This window comes from Homo sapiens, chromosome 16, assembly GCF_000001405.40.
Source record: "Homo sapiens chromosome 16, GRCh38.p14 Primary Assembly".
NCBI lineage: Eukaryota > Metazoa > Chordata > Mammalia > Primates > Hominidae > Homo > Homo sapiens.
This window is the reverse complement of record NC_000016.10, coordinates 66,395,381-66,420,315: the sequence shown is the minus strand read 5'-3', so window position 1 is coordinate 66,420,315 and position 24,935 is coordinate 66,395,381. Positions and strand designations below refer to the sequence as shown.

Here is a 24,935-nt window from a genome sequence, read left to right as displayed (position 1 = left end):
ACACTTCTGTGCATTTTAATGTAAGTATGTTATACTTTAATTTTCTAAAAAGAGTGTCTTATCTTTATGCATTTGCCCAGCCGAGGCAAGAGAGTTAGGCTTCCGGCTTGAAGATGGAGGAGGAATTTGGGGTTCCAGGCAGAAGGGGCAAAGGGAAAGGAACTAATATTTATTCAGCCTATGGGAGAACTTTCTTTCCAGGCTTAGTAACAAAAATAGTTTCATTTCTTCCAAAAACAGTTTTTATTCTTTTTGTTTATTTTAAACCATTGCTTGAATCACTCCCTGATTAAAAAAAAAAAAAAGGAGACGAATGTATGTTTCCTTTGCCTCTGTTTACTCACTTGTTAAAGAAAACATTATACTATGTATGCATTTTTGGAAGAAGATGGTGTATAAATGAACAAAAATGGTGCAAAAAGCATTTGTAGAAAACCTGTGTGTGTGAGAGACGTTTCCACAGTTCATTTCAGAGGACAAAGGGGAAAAGGCCATGGTTCAGGAGGGGTAGTGACTGGCCTGGCCCCTAGTAGATACCCAATACTCTTGTGAAGCATTGGCCAGCAGGGGGATAGGGAGGGAACGCAGGGAGTCATGTGAGGCCTCTGCCTCCTTTAAGTTCCAGAAAGCATGGAGATGTTCTGGACTGGCTTGGGCTCTGGGTCTAGAGGATTTGAAGACCTGAGTTCAAATCCCCCTTCTGCCACTTACTTGCTGTGTGTTCTGGAACAAATCATTTGTCCTTCCAGAATGTCATTCCAGCAGACGAGGTCACCCTCATGCATTTCCTGGTACCTGGGTTTTCTTGACAGCATCTCCAGCCTGCGGTCCCTGCTGCTGAAGTGGCCAGTGCAGTGTAACTGGGGACTTTCAACCATGCCTGCCTCCCTCCCTCCCTCCCTCCCTCCCTCCCTCACCTTCCCTCCCCTCCCTTTCTTCCTTCCTCCCTCCCTCCTTCCCTTCCCCTCACCTTCCCTCCCCTCCTCTCCACACCCCCCTCCCCTTCCCTCCCCTCCCCTCCTCCTCCCCATTCCTCCTTCCCCTTCCCTCCCCTCTGTTTTTGAGACAGAGTCTTGCTCTGTCGGCCATGCTGGAATCCTGGAGTGCAGTGGCGCGATCTGGGCTCACTGCAACTCCACCTCCCGCATTCAAGCCATTCTCCTGCCTCAGCCTCCTGGATAGCTGGGATTACAGGAGCACAGCACTACACCTGGCTAATTTTTGTATTTTTAGTATTTCACTATGTTGGCCAGGGTGCTCTCAAACTCCTGACCTTAAGTGATCCACCCACGTCAGCCTCCCAAAGTGCTGGGATTACAGGCGTGAGCCACCTTCCCGGCTGGTGCCTCTCCTTTCTGTCCTGGTGCTCTCTCCCAGAGTTCCTGGTGACTCTTGGGAACTCAAGAATGTCTCCATGTCACCTGCACACATCCACAACACTCAGAGGAACAGGGAATCCCTGAACGCAATGTGACGGCTGTGCGGAGGGGGCTCCAGTTCCCCTTGCATCTGCTTCTCTTAGGCAGGCACCAGGAGGCTGTCTGAGTCTCTCTGCTATTCATTTTGAGCTGGCCATGATGGACCTGAAATGCTGTGGGGAAGTCATTCCAAGGAGAACATTAATCGTGTCACCTTAAGGCGGTCTAGCACATGAACAAGCAACCCTCCTGGCCTGGAGCAGCTGAGTTTTTGCACACGGGGAAAGGCAGGGCGGCCTGATGGGTGGTGGAGGCTCATGAATTAGGTCCTGTGGGGAAGAAGTTGTTTTCTCAGCCTCTCTGCTTGGATTATTGCTGTGTTCATTTTCACTGTCACACAATGTACATTCTGCCCCCAAAAGCAGGGCACAGACTGGCCTCACTATAACCTCTCCTCAACTCAGACTCTTGAAAAAAAGACACCTCTCCACACTGCAGCCTCCGAGCTTCCTTAAATCAAGCCACACCCTTGCTAGAACCCTTTAGGGACTTTCCATTGCTGCAGAATCAAGTCCATGTGGCCTTGTAGCAAGATAGTCAAGGTCCTTTCTGATCTAGTTCCTGCCCAGTCTCTGGATTCTATTCTAGCCACTCTCCACCTCAACTCCTGGGCTCTAGCACCTCTAATGCCCATACCCCCTTCTCTGGAGGCTTTTCTGACCTTGACTCCGTGCAGGTTAAATGAGTAGCATCCTCATCTGAGGTCCGATAGCACACCTCACATTTCAAAATGATGGAAATCACATACGATTTTCTTTTGTGTTGTGCATACTTGCCTCCCTGTTTGTGAGCCTTTGGAGGGCAGAAACTGAGTCCTGCCCTCCAAAGGACTGTGGACTTCAATACTGTGTCCCTAGCTTGATGTGTGGTTCAGGGCTCCAGGAACATTTGCTGCAAAAATGGAGCTGGATCATAAAGATATCAGTGATTGTGCTGGAACAGGAGGCTGCCTCCAGAGGTCCTTCAGGTGTGTAGGCCTGTCTGCCCTTGTGCTAAATGGCTCCAACCTGCCTGCATTAATCCTTTCTCTCTTCCTGTCACTTCCAGCTCTCCTCCTCCTTCCGTTTGAGATATCCAAGCTTCACGGAAGAACTGAAGTTTTCTAGAGAAAACAATATCCGTGATTGCTAAATAAATAAGCCACATTCATGGCCAATTCAGCAAAACCAGGTTTGGTGGGAATGACTTCATTCTTACCAGGATGTTGCTGGCCGCCTGGAAGTCCTTTAAAAGACAAAATAAAACACCCTTTTAAAGATAATTTTAGACTCACAGAAAAATTACAAAAATATTTTAGAAAGTTCATGCATACCCTTCACCCAGCTTCCCCTAATGTTCACAACTTACGGAACCACGGCACAATGGTCAAAACCAGGAAATTAACACTGGTACAATGCTATTATTGTACCTTATGCAAATTTCACCAGTTTCTCTCTAGTGTTCTTTTTCTGTTTCAGGATCTGATTCAGGATCCCACATTGCTCATAGCTGTTGTGTTTCCTCAGACTCTTCCAATTTGTGGCAGTTCCTGATTCTTTCCTTGCTCTCACGGCCTCTGATGAGTCGTGATCAGTTCTGCAGAAGCTTTCTGTTTCTAGTTCCTGGTTGGCTTCTGGGTGATTGAAGTTCCTGGAGGCCTTCCTGTAGGATGGGTTCGGAATGAGTGCTTCTTTTTCTTTCCTCCTCTCGTTCTCCTTTCTTCCCTTGGGATTCTCCAGAGGAAGAGTCAGTTAGAGAGGAATGCATGGTGAGGAGGTGATTAGTGTGTCTTGACCTTGGGTGTTCATCTCACTGTCAGAGTTCTGGCTCCCATCTGCAGTTGATTATGCAATTAGCCATGCATGTTGACCTCAGGATAGATGTCGACGCCTTCTTGCTCCTCCTTCACTGCCTACCTTTCTCCATTCCTCCCTCTCCCAAAGTCATCTCCTTTGGTTGCAGGTTAGAGGAGGCTTCAAGCCAGTTAGGCCTGGTGTGCACAATTCCTTGGAGTCATGTGCTCTGAAACATCTCTGGCTGGCCTGCTGGGGGACATGGGAAGTGGATTTGGGAAGGGGGTCTGTGTGCTGAGTCTTACGGCCCTGTTGCATGCGCTTATGGGGTCATGTGGCCCATGAGGTTAGGGACAAGTGCAAGGGACTGAGAGAGAAGTCAGCTGTGGTAAAGAAGGTCCATCAGCTGAGTCCCATCACATTCAGAAAGTCGTCCTCCAATGAGCCTGGGCCTTTCTGAGGGACAATGGAAGAAGAGGTGAGAACCAATTCAAATTAATTCATTAATTCAATCAAATATTAATTCATCATTAATTTGACTGCAACAAGCCCTGGTTGGTTGTTATTATTATTATTATTGTTTTTGTTTTTGCTATCATGATTTTGTTGTTGTTAGGTATGCGGAAATAGGATGAATCAGATGCAATCTGTGCCCTCAGGGTGCTCAGAGAGAGACAGACCACAGAGGATCTCAACCATGTGACAAGGGCTCTGTTGGAGGGATATGTTAAGTTTGTGGTAACAGGGAGAGGGAGTGACTTAGTTGTGACAGGGATGGGCAGTGGATGGGGCAGGTGGTGCTAAAGGATTTAGAAGGGTTAGGCAGGCAACTAGGGAGGGGACTGGTGCTCCAGGAAGAGGGAAGAGCATTTGCAAAGGCCTGGAGTGGAGAGGGCCTGTGGCTGCTTGGAAGAGCTGCAGACTCCCCACTGTCTCACTCATTTGTTCATTCATCCATCCACTTGCTCTGGGCCAGGCACTGTGCTGGGCACAGGAGCCACTAAGGTGAGGCCAACCTAGCTCTGCCTTAGGGTCTCAAAGTCAGAGCAGGGAGACAGACAATTATTACAAGAGCAGAAATATACATGGATGCCTTGCAGAGGAGGGAGGATGGTACTATGGTCTAAATGTCTCCCCAAATTCATTTGTTGGAACTTAATCCCCATTGTTGTGGCATTAAGAGGTAGGCCTTCTGGAAAGTGATTAACTCAAAAGAGCTCCGCCCTTATGAATGAATTAGTGCTTTATTGAAGGACTGGAAGGAACCAGCTTAGGCCCTTTTTGCATTTTTGCTTTCTGCCATGTGAGGATGCAGCAAGGAGGCCCTCACCAGACACTGAATGCTGTGCCTTGATCTTGTATTTCCCAGCCTCCAGAACTGTGAGGAATACATTTCTGTTGTTTATAAGTTACCCAGTCTATGTTTTGTTATAGCAGCACAAAAGGCCTAAGACAGATGGGCAGGGAAGTCTTCTTAGAGGAGATCTTCGAGGTTTGACTTGAGAAAGAGTTGGGCAAGTGAAGAAGCAGGGATGGCCACTCTTTACAGGGAGAATAGCATGTGTAAAGGCCCAGATCACTTGTTCATTCATTGGTCACTTGTTTATTCACTCACTCATTGTATTCATTTATTCAACAAGTAGGTAGTGAATGCCAGTTATGCAGTTAAGTGTCTATACTATGCACAGAGACTACAAAGTGAATAATTGGGGCGCTCTCAACCTAAGAGTGTTTCAGTCAGCTTAGGCTAAGTTATGTTGTGGTGACAAACAAACCCCAAATATTGGTAGCTTATGACAATGAAGGTTTATTTTTAGCTCATGTTATATGTTCATTGCTGGTGGCAGAGAGAAGAGAGATAGTAGAACCATACATTGGTTCTTAAAGTTTCTGCTCTGGGGTGGCATAAGTCTCTTCCACTTACATTTTATTTGACAGGATGAGTCACATGGCCAAGCTTGACGTCAGTGCATCAGGGATACCAATCCTCCCACAGAGAAGGGCAGTGAATATTTTGACCAATAACACACTCTACCATATGTCTGAGTAAAGGCTAATAACTCAGTCTGACTAGAATGTATGGCATGAGGGTGGCTACAAAAATAAAGAGATTAAGAAGTCAAGGAGAAGCTATATCATGTAGGGCCTTGGGTACCAGGCTAAAGAGTTTGGGTTCCATTGATTGTCAATGGAGAGCCACTGAAGATATGAAAAGTTCTGTTGAGTTTTGAGCAAGGGAGAGTAAGATCTTATTTATGCTTTAGAAAAATCATTTCAGTAGCTTCAGGAAAAGGCCTGGGGGTGGGGGGATTGAGGCTAGAAATAAGAAAACCAACTGAAAAGTTGTGGGAATACCATAGCAGAGTGAATGTTCAAACTAAGGTTGGAACAGTAGAGACGGAGAGGGCTTCTAGAGCTGTTAGGAACAGAATCAAGGGAATTTCATTAGTGCATTGTTCAACAGGTATTTTAGAAACAAAGAATGAATGAGACCAGGTGTGGTGGCTCATGCCTGTAATCCCAGCACTTTGGGAGACCAAGGCAGGTGGATCACTTGAGGCCAGGAGTTCGAGACTAGCCTGGCCAAACATGGTGAAACCCCGTCTCTATTAAAAATATAAAAATTAGCCAGTCATGGTGGTGCATGCCTGTAATTCCAGCTACTCAGGAGGCTGAGGCGCAAGAATCCCTTGAACCTGGGAGGTAGAGGCTGCAATGAGCCAAGATCACGCTACTGCACTCCAGCCTGGGTGATGGAGTGAGACTCTGTCTCAAAAAAAAAAAAAAAAAAAAGAATAAATGAATAAGTAACAGAGTGCCCCTGAACCTTGTACATCAATAAAGTGACCAATAAATTGATCCCTTATAAAATGAGACAGACCCTGATCAAATTTTTTTCATTATTTTCAAATTTTGTTGATGACTTTCAAAAGTTTACTTTTAATTTACATATGGTAATTTTTTTTTTGGAGTACAGTTTTATGATTTTGACAAATGCATGGACTTGTGTAACCACTACCACAATTAAGATATTCAACAGTTCCATCACCCTAAAAGTCTCTCTAATGCAGCTTCTCTTTGTTAGTCCAATCCTCCCTTCTCCCCAACTCTTGGAAACCCTGATATGTTCTCTGTTGCTACAGTTTTGCCTTTGCAGAATATTGTATAAATGGGATCACACAGTATGTAGTCTTTTGAGTCTAACTTCTTTCAAATGGCGTAATGCACTTGAGATTCACCCAAGTTGTTGCACGTATCAATGTTTCTTTCCTTTTTACTGCTCGATAATGTTTCATTTTATGGCCGTGCCAGAGCTGGTTTATTCACTTGTCTTAGTCCATTTGGGCTATATAACAAAATATCATAAACTGTGTGGTTTGTAAACAACAGAAATGTATTTATCTCAGTTCCAGGGGCTGGCAAATCTAAGATAAAGGCATCAGCAGATTTGGTAGATTGAGTGTCTGGTGAGGGTCCACTTATTGGTTCATAGACAGCACCTTCTAGCTATATCTGACATGGTGGATGGGGATCTTCTGGGGCCTCTTTTGTCAGGACACTGTGTTAGTCCATTCTTTTTTTTTTTTCTGAGGCGGAGTCTCACTCTGCCACCCAGGCTAGAGTGCAGTGGTGTGATCTCAGCTCACTGCAACCTCTGCTTCCTGGGTTCAAGCAATTCTCCTACCTCAGCCTACCGAGTAGCTGGGATTACAGGCGTGCACCACCATGCCTGCTAAGTTTTGTATTTTAGTAGAGATAGGGTCTCACCATGTTGGCCAGGCTGGTCTCGAACTCCTGGCCTCAAGTGATCCACCCACCTCCCAAACTGCTGGGATTACAGGCGTGAGCCACGGTGCTCGGCCTTTGTCCATTGTTGCATTGCTATAAAGAAATACTTGAGATTGAGTGATTTATAAAGAAAAGAGGTTTTATTGGCTCATAATTCTGCAGACTGTACAGGAAGCATGGTGCTGGCATCTCCTCGACTTCTGGGGAGACCTCAGGAAGCTTTTACTCATGGTGGAAGATAAAGCAGGAGAAGGCACATCACATGGCAAAATTGTGTGTGGGGGAATGCCACATACTTTTAAACAACCAGATCTCACATGAACTCAGAGTGAGAGCTCACTTATCACCAAGGGGATGTGCCAAGCCATTAATGAGGGATCCACCTCCATGACCAAACACCTCACACCAGGCCCCACTTCCAGCACTGGAGACTATATTTCAACATGAGATTTGGAAGAGTTACATATTCTAACCATATCAGGCACTGACCCCGTTCATGAGCGGTCTGACTTCATAATTTAATCCCACCCTAAAGTCCCCACTTCCAAATACCCATGCATTGGGGATTAGGTTTCAACTTACAAATTTTGGAAGGACAGAAACATTCAGACCATAGCACCCCTCACCAGTTGAGGGACATTTTGTTGTTTCTGGTTTTGGTGTTATAACTTTATAAGAAACTCCCAAACTGTTTTGTAAAGTGGTTTTACCATTTTGCATTCCCATTAGCAATGTATGAGTGCTCCAGTGGCTCTGCAGTTGGTATTGTCAGTTTTTTCCCCATTATAGTAGGTATGTAGTGGCATGTCATTGTGGTTTCAATGTGCATTTCCCTAATGAGTAATGATGCTGAGAATCTTATGCTTATTTGCCATCCATATATCTTCTTTATTTATGCTTATTTAACATCCATATAATCTTCTTTAGTGAAGTGTCTGTTCAAATATTTTGCCCATTTTTAACTTGGGTTGCTTATTTTCTTACTGTTGAGTTTGAGAGTACTTCCTATAGTCTGTATATCCTTTGTCAGGCATATGACAGTCCATGGCTTTTCTTTTTATTCTTATAATTTTAATTTTGCTCTTTTTAGAGCAAAAGTTTCTAGTTTTAATGAAATCCAACTTATAAATTTTTTCTTTTTATGAATTAAATTCTTGATGTCATCTCCAAGAACTCTGCCTAATTGTAGGTCACGAAGATTTTACCTATATTTTATTTTAAAAGTTTAAAAGTTTTTATGTTTTACATTTAGGTCTATGATTCTTTTTGAATTAATTTTTTGTATAAAATGAACATATAGGTCAAACATTTTTTTCCTGCATATGGATGTCTAATTGTTTCAGCATCATTTATTGAAAATTCTGTCCTTTCTCCATTGAATTATTTTTTCATCTTTGCCAAAATTCAATTGATCTTATTTGTGGATCTATTTCTGAACTCTTTATTATATTTCACATAGATATATAGACAGATAGATACATAGAATGTGTCTCTCCTTTTGCCAGTACCATACTGACTCAATGACTGTAGCTTTATAAGAAGCCTTGGAATCAGATAATGTGAATCCTTTAACTTTTTTCTCCTTTTCTCAAAGCTGTTTGGCTCTTCTACATTCTTTGGATTTTTATGTGAATGTTGGAATCAGCTTGTCAATTTATACAGCCAGTTAGGATTTTGATTGTGATTGGGTTGAATCTATAGATCAATTTGGATAGAATTTACATTTTAATAATTCTGAGACTTCCAATTCATGAACATGGTATATCTCTCCATTTATTTACACTTTCTTTGATTCCTTCATTAGTGTTTTGTAGTTTTCAGCATACAGGTCCTGTACTTACTTTGTTAGATGGTAACCAAGAATTTCATTTTTAAAAGTTGCATCTGTCAATTTTTAACACTTTGTCTCTCTTGATCCATCACTCATATATTTGCTAGTGAGTCTTCACTTACTGTAGAATGCTTATTATAAAGGGAATTTTTAAATCTTGCAAAAGACAAAGGGTTTCATAAAGTTGACAGGAGCATTATTGGAGAAATACTCAAATTTACAGAGCCAGTGACAAAGGAAGATCCAGATGAGTTGGGCAAATTAACAAAAAGAGTATCGACAAGGCAGATAAAAAATGACTTGAAAGAGGGAATGATTTAAATATCAAAGGATTATGAGAAGCCTTTGGGAAAACTAATGAGCCTGGAATATTTGTATAAAAATTCTCTTGTGTAAATCAAAGATAAAATACAAGTAAGCTACATTATGTTCCTGTATATTTATGTTGGGAAAATATCAACACTTGAATTATCCTTTCTTTATTTTAAGAGTTAGAAAATGGTTGCAGTAAAAATCAAAACTTTCTTATATAAAATATGAAAAATTTAGAATAATTTTTGGTTTTATTTTAAAGTCTCAATCAACCCTTACCTTCCAGTAATTATTAGAAAAATCAGGTCACTATTTTAAGTAGATTCATTTCAATTAGCCTTATAGTTCTTACTCCTCCAGCCAGTAGACAAACCCTGGGTTTATTAGCTGATCCAAATGGACACTCAAAAATATGCCAGGCCTTCAGCTTAAGGAATGGCCAGATGCGGAATCCCAGATTTGGTGAGCTGAGAATTCCCGTGTGATGGAAGAACTCTAAGATGACCCCAAATTATCCCCACCGCTGGTACTCCAGCCCTGTGTAATCCCCTCCACTTGAGTGTGGCAGGACTTGGGACTCATTTATAATGAATAGAATAGAAAAGGTGACCAAGGTGACAGGATGTCACTTCAGTGATTGCATTAGATAAGACTGCAATGTCCTCTTGCTAGTGGACTCTCTCTCTCGCAGGCTTTGATGAAGCAGGTGAGCATGTTGGGGAGGCCCTCAGTTCAACGGGCTGCAAGGACTGAATTCATTCAACTCTGTGGTCTTGGAAGTGGGTCCTTCTCTAGTCAAGGCTTGAGATAAGATTTTGTGGATGACACTTTGATTGTAGCTTTCAGAGGGGATCCTGAAGCAGAGAACCCAGCAATGTTATTCCTGGACGCCCAGCCCACAGAAACTATGAAGTGATAAATGCATATTTTTCTAAGCTGTGAAATTTGTTACAGAGCAGTGGATAAGGAATACACCCTGCTGCATTTAGCCATTTAGCCATTCTTACATAAACCCACCGTACATATGATTCATTTAGTTCCAGTATAAACTTCTCACTAAAGACCCTGTATTAGTCCGTTCTCACACTGCTATAAATAACTACTTGATGCTGGGTAATTTCTGAAGAAAAGAGGTTTAATTGCCTCACAGTTCCGCAGGCTGTGCAGGAAGCATGGCTGGGGAGGCCACAGGAAGCTTACAATCATGGCGGAAGGGTGAAGTGGAAGCAAGCACCTTCTTCACATGGCAGAGCGGGAGAGCAAGAGTGAAGGGGGAAGTGCTACACACATTTAAACAACCAGATCTCCTGAGAACTCACTCACTATCATGAGAATAGCAAGGGGGAAATCCACCTCCATGATCCAGTCGCCTCCTATCAGGTCCCTCCCCCAACACTGGGAATTACAATTCAACATGAGATTTGGGTGGGGACACAGAGCCAAACCATATCCAAACCCTATTAGACCCACACTTCTTTCCCTCCCTCCTTCCCTTCCTCCCTCCCTCCCTCCCTTCCTTCCTTCTTTCTTTTCTTCTGTTAGGAAAGATTATGAAAGACTTTCAAATAGGAAAAAAAAAAATTACTGGGTTTTTTGTCCGGTACACTTTTCCAGGTTATTGCCTTTCATCGTCTTTGAGCTATTTTACAACTCTGTAAGTTGAAGAAAACTTAGATTAATGCAAATTATTCTTGCCCATGGGAGTACAAATGATTATGTCCAATGGAATGCAGTCTATCTTTACCCTGCGGATAGACCAGTTTTATTTCTGTATGTAAGTTGATTTCAGCATTCCTTATTGGCTTTATTGTGGGATTCTCTGAATACTCCTTTCAGTGGGTTGTAACATTGGACAGGTTCTATCATAAACTAACGAGTTAAATAAAACCTTTGATACATATTCATTTTATATGAGTAAAGAGTTATGATTTTTACCTTAAAAAACGATCTTTTAACATTTTCTTCCTCCTTCCCTTCCCTCCTTCCTGTTAACATTGAATAATTACTATGTGCCAAATTTGGTTCTATTACCTTTTCAAGACTTATTTCTTTTGACTTTCACAAAAACTTAGAGTAGGCAGTATATTACCTTATTTTATTTACAAATGAGAAAATTGTGACTCAGGGAGGTTAAGAAACTAACTCTGCTTGTAGGAGAGCACTGACTCATCCAGGACTGCTGACTCTGAACCACCTGGCCTGGGACTGAGGAGTTTCCAGGACACAGGACTTTTAGTACTAAAACGACGAGAGTCCTGGGCAAGCCAGGATGAGCCTATCACCCTGCATAGCTCCAGAAAGCCCAGGAAATGGACTCACCATGTTTAGCTTCAGATGTCCTGTCTTATCTCCCAAGCCCTGCCCAGTACATGCTGCTGTTTTGCTTCAGGGCTGTTGTCACCAAGTTCTTAGTGCTGTGTCTGCAAATGCCCCGGATGACTTTCACTCTTCCCTATGCTTTGCAAAATATTGGCTGCTTTATGTAGTGCTCTAGGGAGGGCTGTTCTAGCTCCTGCCCAATGCCCTGTGTCTATAGGCCTTTCCCTGCTCAGCCAGCAAAAGCCAAAGGCAGAGTTTTGTTGCTTCCTTCCCTGTGAAGATTCACTTCCTGCCCAGAGTCTGATCTGAAAGCAAAAGACTCTTGTTCAGCACAGCTTCCTGCGTAACAACATTAAACATCCCCTTGGCAACCATTATACAGGAATATTATAAGATAACTGTGCTTTCTATGCCCTAGGCTACAAGACCACATTGCAAAGTTTTGTGAAGTCTCCTTAAGTGTTGGGGGATACACAGATTTCCTAAACATCCCAAATAACCTCTGGATGGGCTGAGAGAAATAGGCCCCAGCTGTTTCTCTTATCTTTGAGGAAGAGGAATGGTGGATATTTCTATGCACTGCAGAATCCTATGGAAGTCACTTGGCTGAAAAACCGGGTTTCCCTCATATCATAGACTGTAACTGCTCTGATCCAGAAAGTGGCTGGAAATTTGCTGTTAACTTCAAAGGTTAACAGGATTAGACTCCCACCGATGAAATTCAAAGAAATGCTTTCAGAAGTAAGCAAACAGACAAAATTAATCAACCCTTTAACAACAGATTTTCTGGATTCAAGGGTGATGACTTCAAAAACAATTCAGTTAATTCTTTTTTTTTTTTTGACAGTCTCACTCCGTCGCCCAGGCTGGAGAGCAGTGGTGCGATCTTGGCTCACTGCAACCTCTGCCTCTGAGGTTCAAGCGATTCTCCTGCCTCAGCCTCCTGAGTAGCTGGGATTATAGGCAGCTGCCACCATGCCTGGCTAATTTTTGTATTTTTAGTAGAGACAGGGTTTCGCTATGTTGGTCAGGCTGGTAATTCTTAAAAGTCTGTTGCATTAATAGTGAACTCAACTTTTTAAAAAAACAGAAAGTTTTAGTGTTAAAAAATGATATTTGGGGATAAATTTTGCTTATCAATTCACTGTTTTCCAGTGACAAAAAAGTGCTTAGAAATCAACATTAAGATAACTTTTTTTTTCTGATTATAAAAATAATATATACTACTTATAGGAAATTTGGAAAACACAGAATAGAGAAGAAAATAAAAATTTTTCATAATTTCATAACCTGAAGATGGATATCTACTAGAAAAAATTGAGATCTGACTGTAAATAATTCATTGGGTTTTGCTTTTTAGCCTTGACCTTGAATTTAGCTCAAGATCACCACGTCCCAACATGACTTTTAATGGTTGCCCGGTAGTGTTTTGTGGATTTGCCATAATTTACCTAACCAATCTCTTATTGTTGGACATTTACATTGTTTCGAATCTTTTGCTTGTAAGTAACACTGAATTTACTGAGGCAGATACACCCAGTGCATCTTAGGTCCCTAGGAGGTCCTTAGCAATCCCTAGAAGGGGGATTGCTGGGTGGTCTGAGGTTTTGATTGTGAACATCAGAGACTCTACCAGTCACCTTGAAGACAGTAGGATTTATTCGAAGGATTCTTGACCTGGGAGGCGCCTTGAAACCAGGGCGCTCAGGGACTGCAGCTCCGTTCCTGGCCCAGAGTCAACCTTCCAGGATTGGCTTGGCGAAAATAGGGCGGAGCCGAGCAGGAGGACGAGGCGTGGACACTGCGGCAGGGCCACCCGGTGCAGGGAGGGATGGTGTGGTGCACTGTGACCCTCACAAATCCAAAGATCCGGCGGCCAAGGTCAGCCGCTCTCGGAGAGCCGAGATTCTTGGTGCTGGCTGGGCTGCTGGAGACAGCGGGTACCCCGTTCCTTCGGGAAGGTGGGGGACTAGGTCCCTGGCTCTCTCTACCCCATCAGAGCCTGGTGCGACGGAGGAGCGTAGCGAGAGCCCAGGCAGGTTGTAGGGCCAGACCAGGTTCTCTGTCAAGGTCCAGAACCCCCAGAACCTGCGGTCCATTGATTGCCAGGATGCCCGGCCGCGGAGCTCGCAGACACCGGCCCTGGCTGAGCATTTATTGACACAGCGCGCCCCCTAGTGGTCATTTCCCATTACCAACCCAACAGCCGCGGACGATGCTCCTTGGTTCAGCCTCTAGCCCCCCAGGTCTGGGAAGTCTGTAGATTCGCATTGTCCTGGGACCCAGGAGGCAACGGTTGAGGGTGGTCTAGGGGAATGGGAGAGTGTCTAGGCCCAACTCTGTCCCTAACTTGCCTGTGTGGCTCTGGCCACATCTCATCCCCATCTGGGTCCCACCTTGGACATCTGTGAAATGAGGAAGGTCATGCTGGCTTCACAGGTTTGGCCTGGGGGAGGGGAAGGGCTCTGAGCCTCTGCTCCCCTTGCCCACTTTCGGTAGGCTTGGGACCCAGGGTTGGCTGGAGCAGGCATGTGCAGTGTGGTCAGAAGATTCCAGGCCACTGGGTTTGGGGTACCATAAAATGTACAAATTCAGAGGCAGGCCCTCCTCCACTATGAAGATCACTCTTCCTACCTTAGGGTAAACAGGTTCCAAGCAGAGGAGGTGACCAGGGTGGCCAAGAGCTCAGAGCCAGGCCCTCTTGAAGGTTGGAGCGACAGAGATTGTCTCATCTGGAGGTGTCTTGGGGATGGGGAGGCTTCTTGGAGAAGGAAGTAGTGAACAGATCTCATGGGCTCCAGGGATTGAACAACCGTGAGTTCAGGGAGCAGGTACTTCAGACAGGTGGGAAAACAGCTTAAAAACCAGCTGGAAGGGGTGGCATTGGCAGGAATGGCTGAGTAAGGAGCACTTCTCCCCGAGAAAAGCAATGAGAATACTGGCCAAAATTGTCAAAACCAACTTTTTCAGAACTCTGAAAACTAATTAAAAACTTGCAATAATCCAGGGTGTACCTATTTTTTTTTAAAACAGCTAAATATTGGTAAGAACAGTGAGCTTGATGGCATTGTCCTTTTTTTTTTTTTAATAGAGACTGGGTCTCACTATGTTGCCCAGGCTGGTCTCAAACTCCTATATTCAAGCAATCCTCCCTCCTCAGCCTCCTAAAGTGTTGGGATTACAGGCATGAGCCACCACACCTGGCAGAGCTTGATGGCATTTTAACTTGCCCTAGTCCCATCCCCTTCTCCCGAGACCTGTGGTAGCCTTGAAACCCAGTGGATTCATAATCATGGTGAAAACCAGCAGTCTAGAGACAAACAGATCAGAACAGGGTTGGAGCTTCTGCAAAGTCCAATTCCCAGATAACTGTCATTATTCAACTTGTCTGGTAGTTCCCTGGAAGAAACTCCACTTGCAAGGCTGTGTTCTTTTGACCTGACTTGATACCCATTCAATACACACAGCCTTTTCTCTGAGGTTATTTGTTGAAAGTAATCAGTGGCAATTGTTTAACGTTGCAGCTGCCTGAGGCAGTGATAGTGGCTGGGGCAAATAAGAAGCTAAAAAAGATTTTAAAAGGAAAAGTTAAGGAATGAGCTGTCCATAGAGGCTTTGAAAAGCTTTGGCATATTCCTAGGAATCTATAAATGTCCCCTTTTCTGTAAGTTCCTCTGATGATGGTGGTGGTGGTGTGTGTGTGCTTGTGTGTGTGTATGTGTATTTGTGTGTGCATGTGCATGCCTGTATGCATGTTTATATGTTTGTGCATGTGTGTGTGTTTCACAAGTGCTCTCTCAGCTCTAAAAATGGAAGAATCTCAAAGGTTTTCTTTCTCTTTTTTTGAGACAGGATCTCACTCTGTCACCCAGGCTGGAGTGTAGTGGTGCGTTCAGAGCTCACTGCAGCCTTGATCTCCCAGGCTGAAGTGATTCTCCTATCTCAGCCTCCCAAGTAGCTGGGACCACAGGTGCCTGCCACCATGCCTGGCTAATTAATTTTTTTTTGGTAGAGATAGGGTCTCCCTATGTTGCCCAGGCTAAAGATTTTTCTTTATTTAGGTATAAAAAAATACAGTACTTGTCATGCACCAGTTTGGCCAATATATAGACATTATCTGTAGAGCAATTACTACAATTATAGAAAATAGAAGGTTACAGGAATTGTTTTTCCAACTAAAAAACCTGAATTAATATTGTTAACCTAAATAACAACCTGCTTATTATGCAAAAACCCTTATTCTATATGTCTGTGAGAGCTAGAAACTTGTAAGTATCATTAGTAAAAAAATCATTATAAGAAGCTAGTTATTGGTTAAAACAAACAAGTCAGTGTTATCTACAATCCCTTGCAGTGTGAGGGGCTTTGCCCAGAGTGGGAACCTCGGTCCATGACGAAGGGTGAGCTTGGTGTCTCCTTCCCTGCCCCTCTCTGTTGACTGATGCCACTTCTCCAAGGTGTGTTTGCAGTGAAACGTTCCAGTGGAAGATGCATGGGTGACCACAGAGGTTGGGCAGGGCAGGGCCTTGCCTTCTGCAAGGTGTGCCTGAGGGTCAGTTCCCTGAGATGTGACAACAGCGAGGTGTAAAGACACATGGCTCGGCTCCGTCATGCAGTCATGAGTGGGTTTGGACATTGTCCAGTTTTGCTAAAGGCCACATCTTGGGTTCCTCTAAACCAAGGGATAAGGAGTAGACAGAGAAAAGAAAGAGAGCATGGATTGGCGACCAGGTGAGGCAGAGAAGGGGAGACGTCTTCTGCTCCGGGAACATCTGCCCCTTCTCAGGCAAAACTGGAGGGGTGCTGAGGAGTCTCAAAGCAAGGTCTCAGCTCTTCCAGGCCTTCTCCAGAGGGGGTGGGTGTGGAGGTGGCCCTCACCCTGTGATCTGTCACTCCTGATCTCCACTGCCCCTCCAGAATGAATTCACAGTTGCTTCAAAGTTTAATAAGCCATTTCCCTGAATGTGGTTCAGTGCTCAGTACAGCACAGTTACTGGCATGGCAGGCCAGTGAGGTCACTTCAGGACCCAAGGTCAGGAGCTGCCATGGGGCCCCTTCCTCCCTCTTGACAGGCCTGGAGAGGGGTTGGGGAGTGGTGGGGCACTTGGAGTGGAGTATGGAGTTGGAGCAGGGCTAGGGCTCCCGAGAGAGGGCATGATGGTCAGTCTCCCTTGGGAATGGGCTGCAGAGAATCCTGCCCCACAAGTCAAGCTGTCCAGGCCTTTGCCTCCAGGCAGATAGGCACCAGGACCTCACCAGCCTTACCAGGGCGTTCAGGGACCCTAGAAAAAGACCCTGCAGCAGTTAAACACAGTCTGTTTTGCTTTGCAGCCTTGGGGAGCCAGAGGAAGTCTTTGAGTTAGACGGCGGTCTGTGGGTGACAGGGTTATGTGGATGTCTGAGCCCAGACAGAACACCAGCCTGGATTTGCCAGCATTTGAGAATAGTCATCACTGACATATATTCCTGGATATTTCAGGAACCTGGAGTTTGCTATCCCAAGGCTGATGAGGTCTCTGGGACCCACGAGGAAGGGGTGCTGGGCTGGGGAGTCACTGCCATTTTTGGAGGCTGTGGTGCCTGGCGTCTGACTGGCCTGGGCTGCAGGGGGTTTGGGTCCCCAGGCCCAGAGTGACCTCGGCCGCCTAATACAGCAGCTCCTCCCGGGGGTCCGAGCCGTACAGCTCAGCCAGCATCTTAAACCTGGGTCCCCAGTCGTTAAGGAAGTCGTAATCCACGTCAGAGTCGGATGAGTCGGTGCCCAGGGAGCTGAGGGACTCGGCTATGGACTCGGAGCCCTCGTAGCCGTAGATGTGCAGCGTGTCGTAGGGGGGGCCGTCGCCGTCGTGGTCCGCCTCGTCCTTCTTCACCTCGATCATGGCTGCCATCTCCCCGGGCCCTCCGTGTGCCCCAGGCGCGTGCCTCGGTGGCTTCTGCACCTGCGCATAGAGGGAAGGCCGGGCGTCCAGCGCGGGCCGCGGGGGCTTGGCCCCGCCGCGGCGCACCGAGTTGAGCACCGACACATCGTAGCTGGTGGTGTCCATCTCGCCGCCGCCCTCCTCGTCGTAGGTGACCAGCTGCTCGTGGATCTCCGGCACGCTCTTGCCGTGCGCGCGGGCCTGCTTCCGGAGCCGCCGCCGCAGGAAGATGAGCAGGGTGATCACTGCAGCCAGGGAGCCGAGCAGCAGAGTCAGACAAGGCTGGGGGCCTGGGCGGCCCCCCATGCCCCCATCCCCACTGCCCCCTGCAACCCCACCCCCACGCCCTCCCAGCATGCCCATCCCTTTGGCCCCCCCTTCCCCTGCAACCCCATCCTTTTGGCCCCCCTTCCCCTGCAACCCCATCCCCGCCGTTCCCCCATACCCCCATCCCCGCCATCCCCCTACACCCCACACCCCGTCCCTGCCGCTCCCCCGCATACTCATCCCCACCTCGCCCGACACTCCCACCGCTGCCGTTCCCCCACACCCAGGGGCAGGTGCGGATGCTCAGCCTGTGGGAATCTCTGAGGGGTGTGGCTATGTGAGGGTCTTGGATCCCTAAGGAGGGGTAGACCTTGAAGTGCAGAGAGCTTCTAAAATTAGGCTCAGGCCTTCTAGCTTTGAGTTACTGAACAAACTACTATATACATAAGTAAAGCTGGGATGCCCTGGAAGGCAGCCCTGCCCCCCAGCCTCAGTTTCCTTGTCTGTAAAATGGAAATGATGACCTCCCTGCTCTGTTTATATTTGGGAGGATGGTTGTGAGGTCAAATGCAATTCTATTTGTGGTGGGGATGCCATCATCATCATTAATTATTAATAAAGGAGAAATCTCTGCTGGAGAAGTCCCAGAAGTCGGGCATACCGAGGCCACTCTCAGGAGGGCTACAGGCAGGAGAGGCCTGGAATCTGTATTGCAGGTGCCCCGTGGCTGTATCCAGGCCTTGCCGTGAGTGCCAGGGTGATCTCTAATCACCTGAGGGCTTCCTCTGGAGGATCAGCCCCTGCTGCGTCTCATGGCGAGTGAAATGCAGGATACAGTACATCACTGTGCTCCCCCGGTGGGATGATGCTGGGGGGTGGCCCCACGCTGCCTCCCGGCAACCCTATGGGAGGAGGCTCCAGTTCCTCACGATGGGAACATTCCACCTTCGCTGGCCTCCTCCCTTCCCAGCTTCACTCCCCCTCTGCCTTAGGAGGTATCCAGGGAAATAAACCACCTCCCAAATAAACCACTTCCACCCCAATCCTCATCCCAGGGCTGCTCCCTGGGAAATCCAAACTAAGGCCTACAATGCTCCTAAAATTTCTGAGGCCCAAACAAGAAAAAAAATATGTATCAAGGCCGGAGGAATTCTATAAAAAGAAAGAAAGCACGTGGAGACAATCTAAACTAGAAGTTTTTAAACTTTCCATTTTAGAACTGGATCCTTTTTCCTTTTTCAAAAATAGGTTTTATGTAAATACATGCCCAGAACAATGCCTGGCACTCAGTAAATGCTGAAAATATCTAAGTGGAAGGAGTGACTGTTATGTATAAGTTATTTTAAAGTGATACTGGCCTGATGCGTGGGGGAGGAGTCCTGAGTCCCACCCCCTCCTCCTCCCTGGCTCATCCCCCACCGTGAGCACCCAGGTGGTTGGAGCTCACATCCTGCATCCTGCACATGAACTGGCTAAGGGCTGCATTGCAGATTGGAGGCAGGGTTGGGCCTGAACCTCTGGCCTCTACTTTTCCTGTGAAGCCTCCCCGCCTCCCAACACCTTCCATCCCCTTCCACCCACTGTGTCTTCTCCCCACCCTGCCCAGCACTGACCTGTGATGGTGAGGATGCAGAGTAAGATGGCTACCACTGCCTGGATGCTCACGCCCACCTGGGCGGCCATATCCTCGCAGAAGGTGAACTCGCCCTGCTCGTTGCACTTGCACACGGCCACGGTCAGCGTGCTGGTGCCCGTGCGACTTGGCATCCCATTGTCTGAGATGACCACGGGTAGGAAGTGGACCTTGGTATGCTCCCGGTCAAACTGCCCATACTTGACTGTGATGTTGGCCGTGTTATCTGGAAACACCAAGGCCTCGGAGTCAGGCTTTGCCATCTGCACAGATGGGGAAACCTGGCTCCTCCAGGAAGCCCTCCCTGACTGCACCAGCCTGCGTGCTCCCTGGGCTGCTTTTCTGCCCTTTGCACCCAGCGCCTCTTGTTTCAGCCATCTGAGTGCAGGTCTGTTCCGCCACAGAGGGGATATTTTGGGGCAGCTGCTTTGACCCAATCTCCAAGGATGCCTTGGTGAAAGAAGGTCAAATCCTTTGCTTTCTGTATTTGTGGGCAACTGATGCCTCTCCCCTTCCTCTTCCCTAACCCCACTCCAGTAACAGGAGGTTTTCTCTTTCAGCTCAATTAATTAATGCTCCGTTTCAAGCTTTGACAAGCAGCGGGGAAAAATAAAGTTTTAAAAAGTCTTTTAGCATTAGGCTAATTTCTAAGGCAGCTTCTGCTCTCTCTGAAAATCCATTGTTACATTGTTGAAAACAGTAAAAACAATGGACATGTCCCTTGGGGCACAGAGAAAATGATTACATATAGAATTGCGGGTTTCCCAGGCAGTTTGGAACTGGGAAATGCTTTTGTCCAAATATTGGCCCCGCCCACCTTCCCAGATCCAATCAGTGGTTTCCTGTACCCAAGAATCCCCCAGGGAGCTTTTAAAACATGCTGATTTTCAGACCCCTATGCTCACACACACTTCTTATTCAGTGGTTCTGGGCAGAGGCCAGATAATCTGCCTTTTGCAGGGTCCCAGGAGGTTGTAATGTCAACGATCAGAGAAGGATCCAGGAACTCCCTACTCCAGGATTTACTTAGCTACACAGGCTCCACACACTGGATTGAAAAACCCAGGAATCCATCTTTTCGATTTTGAATGAAAGCCAATTATATTTCATTATTCATAATTACATTTCAGCATTAAGTCTATTATATTTCAAAATAAACTATATGTCATTGACACTTATGGGAGAAACTAGAGATTTTGACATGCAGGATGTTCATGATATAAGTGAATTTGACACCAACAGACTTGCCTCCTATTGTATATGGGTGTCTTTGGGGTGGCACTGAATCTTTCTACTGTATTGCAGATCCCCACTCTGAGATGGGACTGAGGTGGACATTGGGGAGGGGGTGACATTTTTGCCACATTATTTACTTCTAATGACAACTGGGTGTTGAATGGTCTGTCATTGACTGTCAACACATCAGGGCCACCTTCTCCATCCCACAGGAGTCTCCTTAAGGACTGGTCTGTGGTTGATCCCTCAAGTCTGCCTCCAACTTTCAGGGACCCCACTCCCCAGTCTTCCTTAAATGTAGTAATGGGCTGCTGCAATACAGCCATCCTCATCCACCATAGTTTTGCCCATTAGGGACAGGCAGGAATTCCATCCCATGCTAGGTGAAGGATCACTCTATTTAAACCCAAGGGGAATTTTCTCTATTTTTTTGAGGAAATTTCAGAGGCCATGGAAGCTTGCCTACTTGTGGCTGGAATGAAGTCAACTCAGCATCATCACTTAAGTCAGCACCTACTCCTCAGAAGCTCTGATTGGCTGCTAATGCCATCACACGGGCCACCCTGCTAATCGTGAGTAATCGTTGTAGCTGAATTAAAACAAAGCTCACTGGATCCTTGGGATTTAGGATTTCACATTTCCAGTTTTGACTCTTTGGGAATGACCTCAAAGTTCCATGTTTAATGTGCAGTTTTGCTGACCCATAGAGCCTCCAGTATGGGAGGGGACTCCTTGGCTAGTTCTTGAACTGAGCTGACTGCCTGCATCCTCACATCTGTTCTGTACTCCTCGCTGGCTCCTTGCAGGCGACGTGGACTTGGGAGTTTGGATGGAGTGTCTCTGACCATTGCATAGACCAATTGTACAATGTATGTGGCAGAAATTGTACAAAATATCTAATGATTTGAAAATCCCAGTGGGAGCCTGCCCTCAATTTGTTGGCCTGGTCTTTGACCTTGGTGCCTCAAGACTCAAATAACCTCACCCCGACCCTGTTAGAGCCAACTGACTGCATTTGTTCTTTTTTTGGAGACGGGGTCTCGCTCTGTCGCCCGGGCTGGAGTGCAGTGATGTGATCATAGCTCACTGCAGCCTCAAACTCCTGGGCTCAAGCGATCTTCCTGCCTCAGCCTCCTGAGTAGCTGAGACTACAGGTGTGGGTCATCACGCCCAGCTGAACTGATTACTTTGATGCCTACCGTGATTATCCGTGAGGGTAAAGTTGTTCTCAGTATTCAAGATGAATTTGAACTTCACGTTTCGTGGTGTTATGTCCTTGTCTATTGCGGAGATCTGCAGGACCAGCTGGAGTGTGGAAGACAGGAGATGGTCAGTGATGGTGGTGGGGTGGTGGGGTGGTCTGAGGTTTAGCGATGGAGCCTTTGGGTTTAAGTCCTGACCATGGCTGTTTCCCACCTGCAACACTCACCTATTTAGTTCTTCATAAAGCCATTCTTTCTACTTCCCTGCCCCGCCAATCTACTCCCCATATATTCCCTCTGAGCCTCAGTTTCTCCATCTGTAAAATGGGCATAATGTTATTTTCCTCAAGGCTATTGTACAGGGGAACTCCTGCTGACTCTGTTGAGCAGTTCTGCCCCCCAGCCTGCCCCAGGGTGGTGCTGCCTTCCCCTCCCACCTGAACCAGACTCACCTGGCCATGGACAGCGTTCTCACACACTTTGGGCTGGTAGGGCTTGGCAAACTCCGGGGCATTGTCATTCTCATCCAAAACTTCAATGTGGACTTGCACAATGGATTCTTTTCCTGTGGGGGTTCCTGCAGGGGAGAAGACTGTCACCATTATGGGCTCAGCTGATGCTGGCCTTGGGCGGTGGAAGATGTGTGGAAGGAGGGCTGCCCTATGGAGGCCACTTTTTGCAGGAGGAGGCTGTGGAACAGAGGCCCAGGATGGTGTTCTGGATAAAAGGAGTTTGGTGGGGGGAGGTGTTAAATCTCATCCATAAGGTTTACTGAGGTATTACTTTGATTATGAGAATCAAAAAGGTAAACCACCTAAGTGCATTAAAAAAATTGTAATTAAATTCCTAAAATTAAAAATTTAATTATTTGATTAAATACATAAAACATAATAAATTAATCATAAAAGAATTGAAAAGGTAAACAACCTAAGTGAGATTGGGTCAGTAAACTAGGCTACCGGAAAAGACTGAAATGGATGGCCACTGACAATGCCTATGTCACTTACATCTTAAACATATAATTAAAAAAAATTTTAAGGCCAGGTGCTGTGGCTCACCCCTGTAATTTCATACTTTGAAAGGCCTAGAAGGGAGGATTGCTTGGGGCCCAGAGTTGGAGACAAGCCTGGGAAACATGGTGAGACCCCATCTCTACAAAAAAAATTAAGACATTTGCTGGGCAATGTGGTGCACGCCTGTAGTCCCAGCTGCTCAGGAGGCTGAGGTGGGAGGATCATTTGAACTCAGGAATTAGAGGCTGCAGTGAGCTGTGATCGTGCCACTGCACTTCATCCTGGACAACAGAGTGAGACCCTGTTTCTCTCTTAAAAAAAAAATTAGTACCATGAGAAAGTGGTTCTGGAATAAGGTTAAGTAAAGGTTAAGTAAAAATGTGGAATATAATATCTTACACAAACATTACAATCTCATGTAAGTATAAAAATATGTATAAAAATAAAAATACATGAATGTGCTAATAGTAACTGTCTCTGCATGGTGGCATTGGTGGGAGGAGTATTTTCTTCTCATTTTCTGTATTTTCCGTATTTTAAACCATTTAAATGTAAAGAGTCTATGAATGGGATTATGTGGAGGAGAAAGAAGCAAAGACTGATCTGGCCAAACATGCAGGAGTCCATTACAGTTTGGGGCAGCAGCTGTGTTGGCAGAAGTGAGTCTGGGTGGGCCCGGCAGGCGCCAGGGATCCTTGGCCTAGCGGGCTCCTGGGTAAAGTGGGAGTATTAATAGTTCTCCTGGAGGGTGATTGTGATTTTCTAATATAGATAGAGGATGCAAAACTCCAACTCTTGCCCCTCCCTCTGGCAAAAATTACACAATTTCTAGAGAAACTCACAATCTCAAAATTGGAAGCTGCTTCACATTTTGAATTCTACCTATTAACTGGTGCATAAACACCCTCTGAAGGAACATTTCCCAAACAGCCATGATAACTAAGAATCATGGGACCCTTGTTAAATGCACATCTCTGGCTCACTGGACCAGAACCTGCAGGGTGGAGTAGAGCTTTATGCTTAATAGGTGACTTGGGTGATTCTCGTCACAGAGACATCTGCACAGCCTGTTTCATGACAGTGGTTTTCAAACTGTGACATGCATGAGATTCCGATTCAGTGTGGGGGTGAGGCCCGAGATGCAACAAGGTCTCAGGGGATGTTGATACTGCTGGGTTCAAGGACCACACTTGGGCATGGGAGCTCTATAGCATCCCAACCAGCGGGTGCTTCAGCAGGCACTTCTAATACGTCTAGAGACCCCAAATTATTGATTATGCCAGTTTTGGAAGAATGAGGGAAAAGGAAAAGAATCCAGGTGCCCTGGCAGATGTGGCCACTCACCAGTGGAATCCAGTTCTTTGGCCTCCACAGTCAGGTTATACCAGGGGTAGACTTCTCTGTCCAGTTCTTTCTCATTGTAAATGTCCCCCTTTTTTGTGACTCGGAAGAACTGGCCCTTGTCACTGGTCCTGCGGATGGAGTATCTGCCCAGGGGAGAGAGTTTCATGGCTTTCCATTGTTCTTTGCTGAGTCTACACTCCTCAGCATGATGGACAAGGCCCTTCTGCATCTGTCCCCTGCATCCCACTCCATGCCCCTCTCTCACTGCTCATTGCACTCTGCCACTCAGACAAGAGTGGACCTACACAGAGGGATTCAGGATAGCAAGATAATGTCTTTGATCTTAGTTACATTGCCATCACTGGACTGGAGGTGGTACCTGAGACCATCAGATGCACTTTCAGAGCTGAACAGGTGACATCACACCATAGCTGGGACTTGTTTTAGTGATTAATGAAAAGATCATTGGGCAAGAGCCAGGAAGGAATACAAAAAGAGCTGGAAGAGATAAGAAGTAATTACAAAGAAATTAACTTTGTGAAATAAAAAACTTAAAAAGTTCTTTCAGAAATCAGGAAAAATCTATGGAAAGATAAATATATATGTTTTGTGTATATAGGAATAATAGTTGCTATTAATGAGGAAAATCCCAGAACAAACAGAACAGAAGAAATAACAAAAAAAAAAAAAAAAAAAAAGAAAAGAAAAGTTTCCTGATCTGAAGAAAGGCTTGAGTCTACACATTATAAGATGTCATTGACATCAGGCATCATTGAAAAAAACCCCAATACTTAGGCAAATCCTGACGACACTTACGAATT

General features: G+C 45.9%; 1 protein-coding gene and 1 long non-coding RNA gene across 6 annotated transcripts in view, besides 2 other annotated features; both read right to left on the bottom strand.

The window, feature by feature from the left end:
- Positions 1-9,414: 9,414 nt before the first annotated feature.
- On the bottom strand, positions 9,415-11,792 carry LINC00920 (long intergenic non-protein coding RNA 920). The gene is made up of 2 exons (NR_046242.1): positions 11,502-11,792; positions 9,415-10,036 (listed from the first exon to the last, which is right to left on the bottom strand). It is a non-coding gene; the product is annotated as a long intergenic non-protein coding RNA 920 (long non-coding RNA).
- Positions 13,516-13,810: a silencer, noted in NCBI's record as "tiled region #12004; HepG2 Repressive DNase unmatched - State 1:Tss". NCBI's record gives its function as "represses a minimal TATA promoter and a strong SV40 promoter by Sharpr-MPRA in HepG2 cells {active_cell/tissue: HepG2}" and the evidence as "EXISTENCE:reporter gene assay evidence [ECO:0000049][PMID:27701403]".
- Positions 13,735-13,804: an enhancer, noted in NCBI's record as "active region_10937". NCBI's record gives its function as "activates an Ori minimal core promoter by ATAC-STARR-seq in GM12878 lymphoblastoid cells {active_cell/tissue: GM12878}" and the evidence as "EXISTENCE:reporter gene assay evidence [ECO:0000049][PMID:35858748]".
- Positions 15,532-24,935, bottom strand: part of CDH5 (cadherin 5) — a 38,094-nt gene continuing 28,690 nt past the window's right edge. For all 5 annotated transcript variants that reach the window (XM_047433470.1, XM_047433469.1, XM_047433471.1 and 2 more), the window contains 5 exons: positions 24,115-24,257; positions 22,210-22,334; positions 21,755-21,860; positions 19,300-19,545; positions 15,532-17,664 (listed from right to left, as the gene is read on the bottom strand). In XM_047433470.1, coding sequence (XP_047289426.1) covers positions 17,147-17,664; positions 19,300-19,545; positions 21,755-21,860; positions 22,210-22,334; positions 24,115-24,257 — 1,138 coding nt within the window. In that variant the 3' untranslated portion in view covers positions 15,532-17,146. The remainder of the gene's footprint in view (positions 17,665-19,299; positions 19,546-21,754; positions 21,861-22,209; positions 22,335-24,114; positions 24,258-24,935) is intronic.